Raw genomic sequence first — 18827 nt, 5'->3', positions numbered from 1 at the left:
GCTCCCTCTTACTCAGCTTTTATGTTTTATTCAGGTTTTCAATTGATTGGATGAGGCCCACTCACATTGCATCTGCTGTTAAAATTTTCCAAGATCTTTTTGGGGTTAAAAACCTATCATTCATCTCTCAATCTTCAGTGTTGACAAGGACAGAGCACTTATGAGTATTCCTGTTTCTGAGTTTCTGATAAGCTTGTCCAAGTGGAGCACAGGCTGGACAATTTATAAGACAGTATTGAAGTCAGAGCAATTACAAAAGGAAAGGGGTAGGTTTCTTGTGTGATGTGCTGCAAACACTGACCTCTCAGAATTTATTCGGCCCTGTGTGTATATACGTATTCATGTCTGCACATATGTGCTAGTTCACTTATACATCTATACATACACACAATCACATATACCCAAGATCTGATGGAATAGACATGAATTTGGCTTAGCCAGGGAAATTATAGAAAGAATAATGGGAATCCTAGGCATGTGGGAAATGGGAAACAAGGACAAAGGCGCCTAGGTAAAATAAAAAGCAACTGGTGTGCCTAGGAGACCTGATGGACTTGAGCATGGAATAGCTCCAGACTTGTATTGAAAGAAAATCAGGAAAGTCAAGTTACGACCAGGTCATGGCAGGCACTGAATGTCAGGTTAAGGGGCTGAACTGTTTCTTTCTAGTTAGTGATGGGTCCAGTGAAGGATTTGGGGCAGGAGAATACTAGAAGGAATATTTTAGGGAGATTGATCTTCCAGTGGTGTGCAGAACAGATATGCCATGCCTAGAGGGTAGTAAGCAGTGACATTTCTTTCACTCTACACTTTAGCTGAGCTCAGGGTAAGTCCAGTAATGGAAGATGGGGTGGGAAATAGAGCTAGGAGTGTAGAGAGGGCAACAGGTAAGGATACATATGTACCAAAAGCAGAAAACAAGTTAAGATCCAGGCTTCATGAGGTGCCTATATTGAAGATTGCTCTGGATAAAGAGACTGTTAGGACTTCAGAGTTAGAATTCATAGCAATTCACAGAACTGCTCAGGCTCTTCATTATTCACCTGACTCAACTCTCCTACATCTGCTCCTTTCTCCTAAGAGATTTCCTTGCTCTCTGTCCTTTCTCTACCCCACAGCTTTTGCTTCCTTTCCGTACATAGAACCACACAACAAGTACTAGTTTTATGCATGCAGTGGTCATATAAATATCTTATTGGCGAGTCCTCATCAAAACTGAGTTGAAACAAACCATTTGAGCCAGAATTTAGTAAGAGTCAGATTTTTTAAGGTACTTCAAGGATTTTATTTATAAATACAACTAGGAAAACATTTACTCATTAGAAATGATGAAACCATAGACAAAACAATTATTAGAGAAAATTTTGAATTATTCTTTTCTCCTGCTGTCTAATTTCTACCTTTCTCATGTAGTCTTTTTCTTTTTAATTAGATTTTTTATGTGAGTATATGGTCCATGTATTTGGCTGGTGGAATAAATTCAATTATTCTCAATTGTTTTGTTTGACCTGTCACGTGTGTAAATTAGAGCTTCAGTCAGCTGTTCTAGATGCAACTGCATATTGTTATCACCTGAGAAGCTTTAAAATCTGTCATTTCCTGGGCCCCATTCCAAACCAGCTGAATCAGAATCCTTCCGGGAGGGTAAGATGATGCCTAAGCACAGGTGATTCTACCATGAGTCCAGGCAGGGAGTCTGGTTTTTGTGCACAGCTTCTGTATGTCATGGCTATTGGCACCTGGCTCTGCTACGGCGGTTCTTAAGTGATCTTTTAATGCCGATTGGGAGTATGTTTTAATAGTGGCACAATATTTTAAGAATAAGGCTTTAAAGGAAGTTATTGCAAGTAACAGTTAAGGGATTTACTCAAACTGGACACAACCTCTGTTGGAGCAGATTACAGTGAAGTTTTGGGGGCATGGGATAAAAAAGAGGAAGGAGAGATTTAATGGAGCGAATATTATTTGCTAAAATTTAAGAACGTTTGCAGTTAAATCTCGTACTATTGCAACAAGATGTGCACAGGTGCATAGGTGAATGCTTCCTCTTCTGGTATTTCCTTGTGTCATTTATAGTTCAAGTTAAATCCTAGGGATTTAAAGTGCTTCTCATTGATATTTAAAGGGCATTTTTAACAAATGGAGAAATGTCTTTCGAAACAGATAAAATGTACCTTTATAAAATCCACTTTATGAGAATATGCTAAAAAGGAAGATGTGTTTCTATTGGATCATAAATTATACAATTTTAAACAGATTTTTATATGAAAGTAAATTGTTCCAACTATTTGAAATTACTTTTTCCTCAAACAAAACAAAAAAGATTTCTAGATGCCAGGATTGTTTTGCAAAAATGATGATCTGATGATCTGTGGGCCAGATGAATATGCTTAACTTTCCTAAGAGTTAAGGTAACATTTTTCCTTTAATGAGCCTGTATCTGATTTCTGATTTGATGTAGTTTTTTAAAAATTGAGAAAATATGCCTCCTCTACCCCTTGCATGTTTTAATGCCCTGATTTAATGCCGGTGTGTGTACATATGTGCATATACACAGATATATACATATATACACAAACACATATTAAAATTATAATAAAATAATCATTTGTTCATTTTATACCTGCTTGTTCTTTTTCTCTGATAAACTCTAAGACAGTGGTTCCTATGGTATTTTTTCTCTGATATAGTTTTTCTTTTCTCTATAGATATTTTCATTACAGTGCAATTTTTCCAGTGTCTTAGGTTTTGCTATTTTAATTTACTCTACTTAGGACTTAGAATGATTCCATATAGGATGGTATATAGATTTTAAACTTCAACAAACAGTAATCAAACATCAGCTAGCCCTACGCATCCTTGCAAAAATAACAATTTATTTAGAAAGTTGTATCAGCATTACTCCTCTACAACATTTAATATCTTGCCTTAAAAGTTCAATATACATGTCAGATGGATTCAGAAACTTCTTTAGCCATGGGTGTCACCAAAAGAGCAGGAAAGGGAACAAAAAATTAAAGAATAAAACAGAAAAAGAGAAAAAGGAAAAATGAATTATATGGTCATTTGAGGATGGAGAGTGAGAAGACCTTACTCATTCCCTGTGTGTAGCTGTGTGTAACACAACTACACATAGTTGTGTTAGCTGTCTTGAGAAGCACTTGGGGCTTTGATTACCTCCATTGCAACCTCATGAGATATTTGGTCTATAGATAATTTCTTCTTCTCTTGCTATCTACAATCCAGAAGAACTAAAGATCAGTGGAAAGAAGAATCAACACTTTAAAGAATTTAAATGGCTGGGCGAGGTGGCTCACACCTATAATCCCAGCATTTTGGGAGGCCAAGGTGAGTGAATCACTGGAGGTCAGGAGTTCGAGACCAGCCTGGCCAAAATGGCAAAACCCTGTCTCTACTAAAAATACAAAAATTAGCCAGGCATAGTGGCACACATCTGTAATCCCAGCTACTTGGGAGGCTGAGGCAGGAGAATTTCTTGAACCCAGGAGGAGAAAGTTGCAGTGAGCTGAGATCACCCCACCACACTCCAGCCTGGGTGATAGAGCGAGATTCTGTCTCAAAAAAAAAAAAAAAAAAAAAAAAAAAGGAACTTAAATATAAGAATAAAAGTAAGCATGAAAGCTGAGCCAGATCTTGCCAAATGATACATCATTTGGTAAACCATGAAGGCGCCACACTTGCCAAGGAGTAACATTTCAATGAGATATGACTCTGCATAGCAGACAGCTGGGTCCATTTGGACCATATCCACAGGGGATCAATCCTTGATGTGTCCGAGTGAAGCATCAGACAATCCACCCACACCACTCCTCGAAGGAGCTATTACAATAGCTCACTTTCATTCCGGCAAAGAGGCTAAGTTACCATAGTGCTTCAGATGCTCCAGACCATGTGTCCCTATGGAAGAGAATGGGGACCACAGCATCCCCCTCATTGGTTCATTATGGTGTCCTGTGTTCTTCACAGCAACACTTTAAGGCAGGCAGGGTAGATATAATTTCCACACCCCCTGCCTATTTTTTTTTAAGATGAGGAAACTGGAAAGAAGTAAAATTAGTAATTAGGAACACAATCTCAGCCTCCAGGCTACCTAAATTCAAATCATCTGTCTGCCACTCATTACCAGTGTAACCTTGGGCACTTTAGCCTCTCTCTACCTTGATTTATTACCCATATCATAGGAATAATAATAGCTACATCACTGAGCTTTTATGAGGATTAAATGAATTATGTTTAAAATTTTCAGAACATAGCATATGTGTTCAGTAAATGTTAGCTATGTTTATTATCCTTATTTAAAATATTTTTACATATTGCCACATAATAGGCAAAAAAATGTTATCTTGGTTTTTTGTTTTAATTTGCCTTTTCCTGATCACTAAAGATTACCATTTTTAAATCATGTTTATAAGCTATTTTGATTTCTTTAAATTGACAGTTCATTTCCTTTGCTCATTTGTCCACTGATATGTGTCTATTATTTAAAAGTAATCTGTATATTACAGATAATATTTCTCTATCTATTATATAAATAACAATTATTCTCTTCCTGTCTGTAGACTCTTTTTAACTTCATTTATTTTGCCATTACAGAAGTTTGTAATATTTTTGTAGTCAAATCTGCTAGTCTTTTCATTTATGGTTCTTAATATGCTTGGTTTAGAAGACCTTCTGTACCATGAGATTATAAAAACACTCTACTATATTTACTTCTGGAAGTTACACAATGTTTTTAAAGGTTATTTCTTTATTCCATTTAGAATGCTGGCATGTTATGAGGTGATATGCCCACTTTATTTTTTTTCTCAAATTGTTTATGATCCCCCTATGAATTTGAAATAGCACCTATTGGTGAATTCCAGTATAAACAAAACTATGGGTCCAGAGTTTTTATTTTACTCCATTAATCTGGTTCTCTATTTCTATGCTTGTTTTAATCTAAACTGTTAATTAGGGCTGTTCCAAATCATTATACACTTTCAATATATGTTGTGGCATTTATTGCACATTGTTCCTGCCCGGTGAACTATGAAATCAATTTGTCAAATTTCAGAATAATTTCATTGGACTTTAAATTAGAATTGCATTAAAGTAATAATTTGGGAAAAACTGATATTTTTACATCAGCAAAACTTCCATTTACTAAGGCCTTTAGATCTTTCAGTCAAATTTTATCATTTTTTTATATAGGTTTTAAACTTTTCTCGTTAAGTTTATTCAACTTTTATGTTTTTATTCTATTGTTTAGACCTTATTATACTTCACTTGTTATTTCTATTAAATACAGAACATTTATTTTATAATTTTCCTTGTAGTAATCTTTCATTAGTTTCAATCATATTATATAGTTGATTTACTTGTTTTTAATGAGAATAAATGATTGTGGTGTTTCATTACTAAGTATAATGTTTGTTTCATGTTTCTGAGAGATGCTCTTTATCAATTTAAGGATGTTTTGTTCTATTGTTCACTTATGAAGATTTTTTTTAAACCAATACTGGGTATTAACTTTCATTAAGTGCCATTTTTAGATTTACTGTGATGATCACGTGTTTTCTTTTTAACAGTGAAATGAATTAAACTTCGATAATCCCTAATGTTTAATAAACTTTATATTTTTGTAGTGATCCCATCTTGTTCATTGTATATTATTATTTTGGATGCTTTTTCATATGTAGTTCATATCTATACTCCTATGATACTGGTCTAGTGTTCTACTTTGTAGTATATTTTTCTCTATCAGATATGATGAGTTTGTAGATAATTTCAGAAGTTTTCTATTATTTTCTACTCTTCAAAAGGCTTTACATGGCAAAGGAATAATTTGCTTTTAAAGAGATTTATAAAACTTGCCTAATAAAACCATCTGGATCTGGTGTTATTTGGGAGGAAAACATTGAATGTTTTCAATATAGATTATGATTACTAGTTTATTCAAATTTTTAACTTATCCTTGAGATTAAAAATTCACACTTTTCTAAGGTTTTGTCCACTACATGTATATTTTTCAAATTATTGGTAAAAGTATTCTCTTTTTTAAAAGTCTATGAATCTTTGGTTATATCCAATTTTTCTCTTGTTTTGAAAATTTATTTTCTCCTTTTTACCTTGTCAGGATTGCCAGCTGAATGCTAATTTACTACTACACTCAGCTGTTACATACATTTATCAAGTCTACAAATTTGTTTTATTAATTCTACTTTTATCTTTGATTCCTTCCAATTTCTTTTTGTCCATTTCATTCTTTTCCTAGCTTCTTTAGTTGAATGCTTATTTTCAGTGTTTATTGTCTTGTAATTAATAATAAACAGACTATCGTTTACAAAAATCTAGTGTACATTTCAAAATAGCTAGAGAAAATGATTTTAATGTTTTTAGCATAAAGAAGAGACAAATGTTTAAAGTGATAGATATCCCAATTATACTTCTTTAAGCTTTACAAATTATATAAATGGATTAAATTATCACATGTACCCTCAAAATATGTTAAATCTATTATGTATTAATTAAAAAAGAAAAACAAGAATAGAAACTTGACCACATCTTCATGAAAAGTATGATATTTTCATTAACATCCATTTATTAACATAATTTTAACTTTTATATTTTATATTATGAGCAAGAGCTATATATCATAGGAAGCTAAAAATAGTCAAATAAGCAAGAATGAAGAAAACAAAAATAATTTGTTAATCCACTCACCCAGAGATAACAAATTAGCCTTGTGTAATCAAAGCATATTTGAATATAAAAATTAATACAAATGAAATCAGACCATACATTCTGTTTTGTAACCTGCCTTTTCTACTTTATTATATTTCACAAGTATCTGTCTAAATTATTATATATTCTTCTAGAACATTGATTTGATTAGCTGTACTGTATCACTGCTTATTCAAATATTTCTTTATCATTAGATATTTCAGTTGTGCCTACCTTTCATAACAATACTAATATATTCTATGAGAGGTGACAAACATGAACAGTCTTAGGACCTTAACAACTTTTCTACTAGGTAGCAAAAACAAAGATAAATGAAATAACTGGATCCATTAGTAAGGCAATATAAAAGAGCTCAAGATAATGCATTCGAAATTGAATTTTTCTCTGCATTGGAGAAACAGGAGGAGAATAACCAATGAGAAAATCACAGGTCATGGCTAAGATGAGTTAAACAAAGCAGCAAATAAAGAATAAGAATAGAATATTTCTACAGCACCTTCTATATGCCAGGTACTATGTTAGGCGCTCTCACATTCATTACCTTATTTATTCCATGCTTAAAAGAACCTTCAAGTTAGGTATCAGTATTCTTATCCTTTTTTAGACTAGAAAACTAGACCTCAGAAAAGTTAAAATCATGGTGGCAGAACTAAATTTTTTTTAACTTTTTTTTTTAAGTTCAGGGATACAAGTGCAGATTTATTACACAGGTGAACTTGTGTCATGGGGGTTTGTTGTGCAGATTATTTCATCACCCAGGTGTTAAGCCTAGTACCCACTAGTTATTTTTCCTGTTCCTCTCCTTCCTCCCACCCTGCATCCTCTGAAAGGTGCCAGTGTGTGTTGTCCCCCTCTATGTGTCCATGTGTTCCCATCATTTAGCTCCCACTTATATGTGAGAACATATGGTATTTGGTTTTCTGTTATCCTCCTCTGCAGCAGGTTCCACAATTTTAAAGATGCTTACATTTACATTTCAGTTCTGTCCCTGTGTAAGTTTGCTACAGTTAATTCAAGAACAGAACTGAAATTTCAGTGTAAGCTTGTTCTTCTTTAAAAATGTGGAAACCTACTACAGAGGAAAATTTTTGTCAATACTTACAAGTAAAATTAACATGTCCACTATGAACAACTTTTACATTTCTTTTCTTTCTTTAATTTAAGCCTTGTCTTGGCTTAAATTGACAAGTTCCAAATTAATATATGATTTTTTGCTAATGCCTGAAAAACATAGAGGAGGTTCTGGTTAGTTTTTTTTCTAGTATTGTTTTAAAAAACTAAGATGTTGCACATTGGGACTTTTTGTGATGTCTTCATGGCTATATTTTGAAATTTTATGTATACATATTCTCTATTAATTTTGCTATGGCTCATGATCCATGACCAAAGTGCATGCTACCACAAGAATTAATTTCCAAAATAGACTTAAGATCAATTGTAAATATTTTTCCAAGGTGGATATTAGAGCTTTGTATCAAGCAATGCAAAGCAATATTTACTTAGCATCATCAGGCAAATATATAGACTTCAGTCATAAATCCTTCACCAACCATTTCAGTACTATCTAGAATTTCTTTCACGTAAAATTCCCAGGAGATACTCAAGGGCTGAAATTCGTGCTAAAACCACTTGTACAACTTGCATGTTACATAAAAGTTATGTCCAGCCTACATCATGTAATGTCAAGGCACAACTAAACATTGAGGAAAGACTAGGTTCAGTTTGGAGAGGTCCCAGAGGCAAGTGAAGCCATCATGGATTTGAAATGCACGTGGAGCACCTCACTGTACGGGCCCCAGTGGCTTCTCATTCAATTATGAAAGAACACTTCTCTGCTTACCAAGTCAGAAATAGTCTTTGTCCCCATTCAGTTTCCTTATCCAATTTCTTCCGAAAAATCAAATCAAGATAGTAAACATACTATTAACAGAATGCCTTCATTTCCTAACTCTAAATTGTCTACCACGTTGCAGATATTAAATTAATATTTGCTGATCCTTTTGTTAAAGTCGAGGATAATTACTTTAATTTTTAACCAAGAAATCTTCTAACTTTAATTCTGTCTTTATCTTTTGTCTCCTTTCTGTTCCTCTCTGCCTGTCATTCACAATGACCATTTCTTTTGTTTGTATAAACTTATAGGGTGCAAGTGTAATTTTGTTATATGCCTAGATTGCAGAGTGGTCAAGACTTTTAGGGTATCCATCATCCAAATAATGTACATTGTAACCATTAAGGAATCCCTCATCATCCACCACCTTTTCACTTCATTACCCTTCCAAATCTCCATTGTCTATCATTTCACTCTCTACCTCCATGTGTACACATTATGTAGCTCCCATTTATGAATGAGAACAGATTTGTTTTTCTGTGTCTGACTTGTTTCACTTAAGAAAATAGCCTCCAGTTCCAACCAGGTTGCTGCAAAATATAAAATAAAATAAAAGAATTTCATTCTTTTTCATGGCTGAATAAAATTCTACTATACATATATAATATTATATAAAATTTTCTTTATCCAATTGTTGATGGATACTTAGGTTGATTCCATATCTTTGCCATTATGAATATTGCTGCTATAAACATATGAGTGCAGGTATGTTTTTGATATATTGATTTCTTTTCCTTTGGATAGATACCCAGTAGTGCCCAACTACGATTTCTAGTTCTGTTTTTGCCAAGCTATGCTTTCATGACTCGTTAAATGTGTTTTTCTAGTATGTACTCCTCTTACCTTTGTCTTGTATCTTCCCCAATTTACCATTTGAAAGACATTAAGAAAAAAAAAAAAACAGGCCAGGCATGTTGGATCACGCCTGTAATCCCAGCAGTCTAGGAGGCCGAGATGGGAAGACTGCTTGAGCCCAGGAGTTCGAGACCAACCTGGGCAACATAGCTAGCCCCATCTCTATTTTCTTTTAAAAACTTATATACATATATTACTCATTTTCCCTCTTTGTCTGTTTCCCTAGCTGCCAACTTATGGTCTGCTAGGGCAGTAAGACCTTCTACCATTCTCATAACTTCAGGCAAATCTAGATAACAAATCTCACTTAAAATCCTCGCTTAGTTTTCTTTCCATGACTTGGTTCTTCATGTGGGATCAGCTTTTAGGTACAAGATAAATGTGTTTCCTCTTTCTAGCTCAGGGTTATAATCAAAGAGCAGGACATACTATCCAGCTAACAGGTCTAGATTTAGAAAAGTCAGAATGTACTACACTGCCTGTGTCTCTCTTCCAACTTCCTTCTCATCTGTTTCCCTGCCAACTTCCCTGAAACTGGACCCACTGGCACCTGAGGCCAACAGGGTCGGGAACTGCAGCTCTAACTTTGCCCAATAGTGAACTATGGCAATTTCCATTGAGCAGCTGCAGCCAAGTGACGAGGTGAGCTATTCATTCCAATCCCTCTCTGCCTCTCAAGAAGGCAGAAGTCTTGAACCCCCAAGAATTTCTAGATCTTTGTTTTCTTGGTCAAATAGGCACTGATGTTGCAAATATAAAACCAGAAAGAGATAGAAAAGTGTATACAAATATCAACTTTATATTTTAATCACTCTGCACTCTGAATTTTTTTACTTTTCTTGTCTCTCTCACAAGTATGATGACATATTCATAAATGCAGAGAAACAACAAAAATCAATTTCTTATATAAAACAAATTCATTCCAGGATGGAAATTTCAGGAAGGAACTGGAAAAAGAGAAATAATAAGTATTAGGACTTTCAATTCAGATTAAATTTAATTCTGATTGACTGCAAGTCTCTGTAATTTATAAAATTGCTGATCCAAAGTTTTGCATTTCTTCTAAAAGTATCAATTAAGCACTTAGCATAATGTCAAGCTGAGCCTTCTGGGCAAACAAAGATGAGGTACAAGATAGTCCCTGTGCTCAGAAAGCTCACAGTTTAGTGAAAAAGTTAGACATGTAAGCCAATAAATACAGTCATGTGCGAAACAATACAAGGATGTACAGGTTTTTTTGAGAGGACTGAGGAGCTGACACTTGAAGGTTACCTACAGAGGTTGTCAAAGAAAGAAAGCATCACAGAGCAAAGAAGATGTTAATCAAGTCTAGAAGGATCAGTAAGGCCAATGTGGCAAAGTTAGGAGGCATGGGAAGGAAAAGAGATTCCAAGCAGAGAAACTGGAAGTGTAAGAAAGCATGGGAAGGCCAAGTGGCAGGGCATGTGAATGACACTGGAAGGGGAGTCTAGGGTCTAGTCCTGAAGGGACAATGTGTCATGCTAAGAACCTGGGACTTTATCCTTCACACAGTTGGTTTTGAAATTCTGCCTCTTGGAGTTAGAGATTGATAATTATAATAATTAAAATGATATAATAGCTAATATTTATTGGATGGTTATTAAATTCCAGAAACCATTTTAAGTATTTTAAAGGCATATTCATTATTTAGCTCCCAATATTAATATTGAATCCTCAAAGAACCCTATGATGGAATTATCATCATCCTAATTGTATTTATTTTAGTAGTAGTAGTAGTAGTAGTAATAGCAGCAGCAGCAGCAGTAGTAGTAGGAGTACCTTTGAGACAGGGTCTCATTCTGTCACCCAGGCTGGAGTGCAGTGGCCTAATCGCAGCTCACTGTAAGCTCAACCTCCCAGGCTCAGGTGATCCACCTCCCAGGTAGCATGACTACAGATGCATGACACTACACCTGGCTAAATTTTTGTATTTTTTGTTGAAATGAGCTTTTGCCATGTTACCCAGGCTGGTCTGGAACTCCTGGGCCTCCCAAATTGCTGGAATTACAGGGATGAGCCACTGCACCCGGCCCCATCGTAATTTTATATGTAAAGAAACAGGCTCAGATAGCTTCCTCTAGGGTGAAAGTGGAAGAAGAAAAGAGGAGACCTGCCGGGAGGATTGGCCAGGCACGGTGGCTCACTCCTGTAATCCCAGCACTTTCGGAGGCCAAGGCTGGCGGATCACCTGAGGCCAGGAGGTCGAGACCAGCCTGACCAACATGGAGAAACCCTATCTCTACTAAAAATACAAAATTAGCCAGGCGTAGTGGTGCCTGCCTGTAATCCCAGCTTCTCGGGAGGCTGAGGCAGGAGAATCGCTTGAACCTGGGATGCGGAGGTTGCGGTGAGCTGAGATCATGCCATTGCACTCCAGCCTGGGCAACAAGAGCAAAACTCCATCTCAAAAAAAAAGTAAAGAAAAGAGGGGACCATTTTTACATAGCAGGTTTGGTGGTGAGGATACATTTAAACCAAGTGTTCCATTGCTAATAAAAACACAGTGTCTGAGAGGACAAGAAGACTCTGATCGCCAGTTAATGGAAGCTGTAAGAACTAGAGGAAGCCCTGGCTTTCAATACTTTGTGTCCTTTGCTCATCCCATTGTTAGAAGGGATATAAAGGAGAAGGGAAGGGAAAGGGGAGGAAATTATACAAGGAGGAGTTGACATTTCATCAGGCCCTTTCTGGAGTCCTTTTGCTGTTCCTCTACTCTGCTTCTCTCCTCCAATATGAGATATTAGCAAACCTAGGGCAATGCTTCACAGGTGTTTTCTCATTTCATCTTCACAACAATATGTTGCACAGCCTGCTCATCACCCCAATTCACAAATGAGGAAATTGATGCTTAGAGACAGTATGTGAATATATGATTCTTTCCTGTAATACTAACCGTAGCCTTCCCCTCCATCCAATCTCCATCTTTTTTGACCCTTTCTGCTCTCACCCATCCTCAACTAGATAACAGTGCTGTGCCAAAAACCTGTGGATTTTCTCTACAAAAATTATGTAAGTATACTATATTTTACTTACTGTGTATTGGCATATATTAGTTGTACATATTCTGAGGGTATATGTGATATTGTGATACCTCTATACAATGTGTAATGATCAAATCAGAGTAATTGGAATATCACATCAAACATTTATTTTCTCTTTATGTTTGGAACATTATAAATCTTCTAGTTATTTTAAAATATATAATTATTGTTAACTATAATTTCCCTACTATACTATCAAATAGTAGAACTTCTGTCTCACTGTATTTTGTACCCCTTAACCAACTTCTATTCATCTCCTTCTCCCCACTACCTTTCTCAGCCTCTAGTAACCACCTTTCTACTTTTAACCTCCATGAGATCCACTTTTTGTATTCTACTTATTGATCTTATTTATTACCTCTCTCATCCCCTGTAAAACTCCATGATATTTTGGGGGATGAGAGGTTTGGTTTTATTTTTTCTCATCTACATCCCTATGTCTTGAAAATTCTTAGAAGACAGTAGATACTCAATAAATAATTTCTGAATTAATAGGTGATAAATACTCATGAAAGCTTTTCTCTATCTTTCCAAAGTCTTAATGCCTGCTCTATTTGTTTTAAATTCTATTGCTTCAATAAGATACTTTAAGAACTATTCTTTCATAATTCTGATCTGAAGAACTTACAAGGTGCTAAATTAGAAGATGTATTGCAAAGGCTTTATTTCAATTTGGCCAAGCTTTTTAATAAAAGTTTGACTTGCTTAAAAGAAATATTTATCTGGGATTCGAGTTCACTCCTTAGACTAGGTCAACACTTTGAGAGGGGGTTGTTTTTGCAAAATAAAAATTAAAGATTAAGTGTTTCTCATGACAAATTTTGAATTTTATTTCCATGCCCTGATTCCCAATGACTTGACACTATAATTGAGATATTATACAGATTTTCTCAATAACTTCAGAGTGCATTTATATGTGATCAAAAGACCTTTCTGATTTCAAGATACCTTTAATAACCTTTACTAATTATTAACCAAAACTAAAGGCAGATTTTGCAAATATAAACTTGTCATTTCAGCATGACTGTTATCTTTTTGATGGAAAAGATGAAGTTCAGCGAAGAACAAATCTACAACTTGGCCAGAAGACTGTAGACTTTGCCTTCAAAGAGGTGTAACACATACGTAAATAATCCCATCAGACCCCATCCACAGCCTCCCTGCTCTTGCAATTTAATTAAGCACAGTGAGAGGGTTTGAGAGTATCCTCACGAAAAGACAATTTTGGTAGCATTTGGGAAAAAAGCAAGAGTTAATTTTTATCTGAAAGACTAGTTTCCTTTGTAAGTCTTCAAAATGTTTTGCCTTTTGCAAAGTACAGACACTGAAGCTGGCATGTTAACTTACTAAGTTAGCAGATTCCCCCTAAAATGCAATGCCCTAAAGCTGGACAGAGGGTAGAAATAGCAAACAGAGAGCATTAACTATATGCTTCTTCAAACAATCAGTGAATGCAAACTGAATTGCCCTGAGTCAGCAGCAGGCAAGAACCATCAGAAAGGTGAAGGCAAGAATATCCATGTTTATATAAAGAGGATGACATTGTTCTGTCCCTAAAAACAGCTAACTCTTGATAATCTCATTTTTTCCTTTGATGTTCTAAATTATAATGAAAATATACTTCCTTTTTTTTTTGAAACAGAGTCTCACTCTGTTGCCCAGGCTGCAGTGCAATGGCATGATCTCAGCTTACTGCAACCTTCACCTCCCAGGTTCAAGCAATTCTCATGCTTCAGCTTCCCAAGTAGCTGGGATTACAGGCATGCACCACCACTCCTGGCTAATTTTTGCATTTTTAATAGAGACAGGGTTTCACCATGTTGGGCAGGCTGGTCTCGAACTCCTGACCTCAGGTGATCTGCCTTCCTTGGCCTCCCAAAGTGCTGGGATTACAGGCCAGAGCCACTGCACCTGGCCAAAATATCACTTTCTAAATGATGCTTATCTATTAGCTTGGGGACATTTATTTAATTCTACTACTTCAGTAGTAGAATACCCATTGCTATTACTAATAGTAGTACTATTAGTATTACTATAGTATTACTATTATTACGATTAGTATTGCTAATCATAATATATATAGTATTAGCATACTATATGCACTACTATAGTAATACTATACTAGTATACTAATAGTAGTATTATAAATACTATTAATATTACTATTGCTACTATCATAGTATTATTATAATTACTAGTAATAATTACTATTACTATTATTATGATTAGTATTACTATAATCATAATAGTAGTAATAGTAATAATTACCAGTAATTATAACAATATATTACTATTGCTACTACTATTACTATATTGGTATTACTACTATTAGTAATACTAGCACTGTCATTATTAATAGTGCTACAATTAGTAATACTAGTGTTATTAGTAATATTGGTACTAATATTGGTGCTATTAGTAATAGTAGTACTATTAATACTAATATTAGTAGGTAGTCCTAATAATATTGTTATTGTTACTAATAGTATATCTTATTACTATTCTGTTATTCAAGTAATAGTAATTTTAGTAATAGAATACCTCTACTTTAGTAATAGAATACCTATTACTATATTGTTATCATTACTACTATTAGTGATACTAGCACTGTCATTACTACTAGTGCTGCAATTAGTAATACTAGTGTTAGTAATATTGGTACTAATATTAGTGCTATCAGTAATAGTAGTACTATTAATACTAATATTAGTAGGTAGTCTTAGTAATATTGCTATTGTTAGTAATATTCTATTACTATTCTGTTATTCAAGTAATAGTAATTTTAGTAATAGAATACCTTAAAGCTGCATTTTTCAGAAACGATCACTTCAGCTTCACTTTTTTCTTTCACCCAAATTTTCACCCAGTTTCTTATATTATTAATGGTGTCTTCATTCTGAGTCTTTAAAGGACAATGTGAAGCAGTACAGGAATTCTCAACGCATATGACAGAAAATTTTCAAAAGTACCTATATTCAAATACATTCTAGTTGCATTTGATTCAGATCATTGTAAAACATATTCCTCTGTCCTGGTTGGCAGAGCACATTAAGCAGGGTGAAAACCCAGCAAAGAACCTTCCCTGAGCCACTAATAACTAGAACCCAGTGTGGCAGCCTTCACCTCTGTGTATGTGGGAACTTCCAGGGCCTCACACTCCTACAGCCTAGAACCTTCAAAATGGACATTATCTTGTTCTGGGAACTTGTGGATGTGAGCAACCATCATATTTGGAATGTGATTCAAATCATGTTCCCAAAATAGAAAATGTAGACAATGAAATGCTGAAATTATACATTTATATCTGTACACACAAACGTGAACATATGTAAACTTTCATCATTTTTTAAAATTTACAAAAGTTTTCATGTACTCTACTGAACATGTCTGTGGTATGTGATCTGGGTGTTAGCAAACCCTTCCCACGTCAAGTCAAAAGCATCCATTGTTCTTGTTTTGTTAAAATTAATGTCACATTTTTATTACATAGAGTACTTTGCATGATGACTTCTGTGTATGTGATACTGGCATATTTTGCTCTAAAAATTTATCTTTGGAGAATAAGTAGATAACTATCTTAGCTGACACACAGACTAAAACTCAATCTCTGAGAATTCTGATTTCTTATCTTAGTGGTTAGAATGAGCGACAGTGTCCTCTTCTCACGTCTGTAAGGAACATTCTTCATATTCTTTTAATAGATGTGAGCTGATCTGTTTTTGAGTATTTGGTGACATCCTGAGATAAGTGGATTCAGAATTACTAATCTGCATTATAATTGGAGAATGGGTATTGTTCATTTTTTTTTGTTTCTAAATTTCAACCAATATTGTGCATTTTTAAAAGTTTTTTTTTAAGAGCACATTTACACAGCCTTGTTTGTATGTAACTCTTAGTTGCTCTAACTTTAATGACGCATTTACAGAGAATATTTCCTAAAGATGTCCTTCATGAAAAGGAGAAGTTTGGACTTGACAACAGTAATTTACTTAATTTATCTTAAATTTGGTTTCAGTGAGCAACCCTAATTAACCTGATTTTTTGCTGATAATCACTCTCAATGGAATCAAATCACAAATCCGGGGATGGATTGAGCGGCACTCAGAAGGAAGCAGCCCTCCGCGCACTGGTCCAGCGCACAGGATATAGCTTGGTCCAGGTAGGAACTTGTGAAATCTGCTGAGACTCACCACTGAATTTGCACAGTGGTGGGAATATTGGAGGTCCTAAGATGCAAAATGGGAATGGTCAGTTACATAGCTCTTTAGAGAAATGTCCCTTTCTAAAAGAGAAGGAAATTGCAACATTTCTGTTTTGTAGATGACACTGAATGTAACCTTCTTTCTACTCTAGGTTATCAATTCAACCTTAACTTGTCACAGAATCAGTGTCCACAGTTATAGAGACTATCCCAAAAAGGCAGCTAGAATTTGCCACCCAAGGCTATGAAGTAGAACCACATTGGTGTTTCAGGAATCAGCAGAAAATAAACTACAGCAGGAACCAGGCTTAGTTTCCAGAGAGATCACTGCACACCTAAGACTTCTAGATGTGGGATCCAAGGAATGAACTTTTTGTGTCTAGCTGCTGCAGTTTGTTCTCTCAGAACACTTGCTCATCCAGTCTAGGATATGTAATACTAACTTGTCTCCATGCTTAGCATTTTGTAAAAGGAAAAAAGAAAACACCACAATCTTAAAACTGTCTATTTATAGACACTGCCTTTTAGAAATTATCTGTATATTATTATTATCTTTATGATATCTTCTTTTAGAGAACTTATGCTGCATTTAAAAAAATGTAGTGTTAGATACATATATTATCTTATTTAAAGAAAAAAATGTTGCTGTTTTTACAGTAGGACAAAGTATTTTAATTTCTCAGCTATTTTCTTTCACTCACATACTTTCCCAACTTAACCAAATCTTGAATTCAAACTACTATGAATTCAAATGTCATGTGTGATTAGCAATAAAATATGCAAGAGTGTCCTTCCATTAGATGCTCCTTTGTCAGTTGCAAAATATACATTTATTTTTTAATTAATTTTATAAATCATGGCATGCTTTGTTAGACATAGTAATAGTTATTTTCTTCATCCTAATGAAGAGCGTTAGTCTTTTTTAAGATTTCAAAAAGTTTCTATTATTTCATAGTTGACTTTTTGAAGTTTCACTTAAGTCCATGGAGATACTGACATATTAGTTTTTTTAATACTTAAAATTCAAATTATTTTAGACTCATTAAACTTTTGAAAAGAGGGTTTTCTTTCTTTTTGCAATCAACACTTCCATAGATGTTATACAATCAAGAATGTTTTTGAATCTTTTTAAAATTTTGAACTTCTTGATATTAGAAACATTTGTGCAAAGACAGTAGAAATAGAAAGCATTTCAACCCTTTCAAACAGCAATCTGTTAATATTTATATATGAGTGTTCCTTTTCTGGAACTGTATTTCTAATGACCCATAATATAAGATAGAAATATGTATAAATCTGTCAAGGGTGACATTAGCTGTAATGCATATCACAAACTTAAATGTATAAATACAAGAAAATTATTAAGTAAATTATGAATGTATAATTATTATACCCAACAAGCAGAATTTATGAAAAATAATCCTAAAACAATATAAATTATCAATTACATTTCATTCAATTCTGGATACTGGTTCTTCCTTTTCCCCCCACATGAAATTCAGGTAAAGTCTCATAACTTTTCTGGTAACGTTCAGGTAATAAAAATCCTTCATTTAAAAAAATTGATATTTTTTTCATATTGATGTTATTCCAAACTAGATTGTTTGGAATAATAGTAAAGACATAAAATCATTCAAAGTTGCAGTTATTTCCCTTTCTCAAGTATGTCAGGGTGGAGGATAATTTCTTTTCTGTTTTTCTGCACTATGTTTTCCTCTTTCAACACCAGTTTGGTAACTACAATTTCTGACTCCTGATTGAAGCAGAAGGGAGAAATAAAAGCAAAGAAAATGGTAAAGGAAAGTTTTTACTGAGCTACCTTCATTGGGCTCTCAGGCCTGACAGGTATCGAAGCTTGTGAGATTCTTTTTACGATCTTCAGACACCCAGCCTCCTGCTGGGTTCTCTTTGATATTTGAAGCAGCCCTCATGGAGAGGATGGAAGATAATCATTAATTTCTACACGTGGCCAAACTCTGATCCCCGGAAACACACATTCCCTGACCCAACAAAATCTGGAAATTGAGGTGACACAAAGCAACCACTTCTCCTTGCCAACAACAAAGCTGCAGGC

At 34.6% G+C, this 18827-nt stretch overlaps 1 protein-coding gene across 14 annotated transcripts in view; it reads left to right on the top strand.

The window, feature by feature from the left end:
- A1CF (APOBEC1 complementation factor) overlaps nucleotides 1-18827 on the top strand; it is an 86219-nt gene that overhangs the window by 9075 nt on the left and 58317 nt on the right. For 3 of the 14 annotated variants that reach the window (NM_001198818.2, XM_005269718.3, NM_001198819.2), the window contains exons 2-4: nucleotides 12473-12520; nucleotides 13572-13664; nucleotides 16568-16711. The exons of 1 other annotated variant lie outside the window; for it this stretch is intronic. In NM_001198818.2, the coding sequence (NP_001185747.1) occupies nucleotides 16613-16711 (99 nt within the window). In that variant the 5' untranslated portion in view covers nucleotides 12473-12520; nucleotides 13572-13664; nucleotides 16568-16612. The remainder of the gene's footprint in view (nucleotides 1-12472; nucleotides 12521-13571; nucleotides 13665-16567; nucleotides 16712-18827) is intronic. 10 more of the 14 variants (NM_014576.4, NM_138932.3, NM_001198820.2 and 7 more) reach the window with 4 other exon arrangements.

Source organism: Homo sapiens, chromosome 10 (assembly GCF_000001405.40).
Source record: "Homo sapiens chromosome 10, GRCh38.p14 Primary Assembly".
Taxonomy (NCBI): domain Eukaryota; kingdom Metazoa; phylum Chordata; class Mammalia; order Primates; family Hominidae; genus Homo; species Homo sapiens.
Note: the sequence above shows the minus strand (reverse complement) of the source record. Positions and strands in the feature narration are given on the sequence as shown.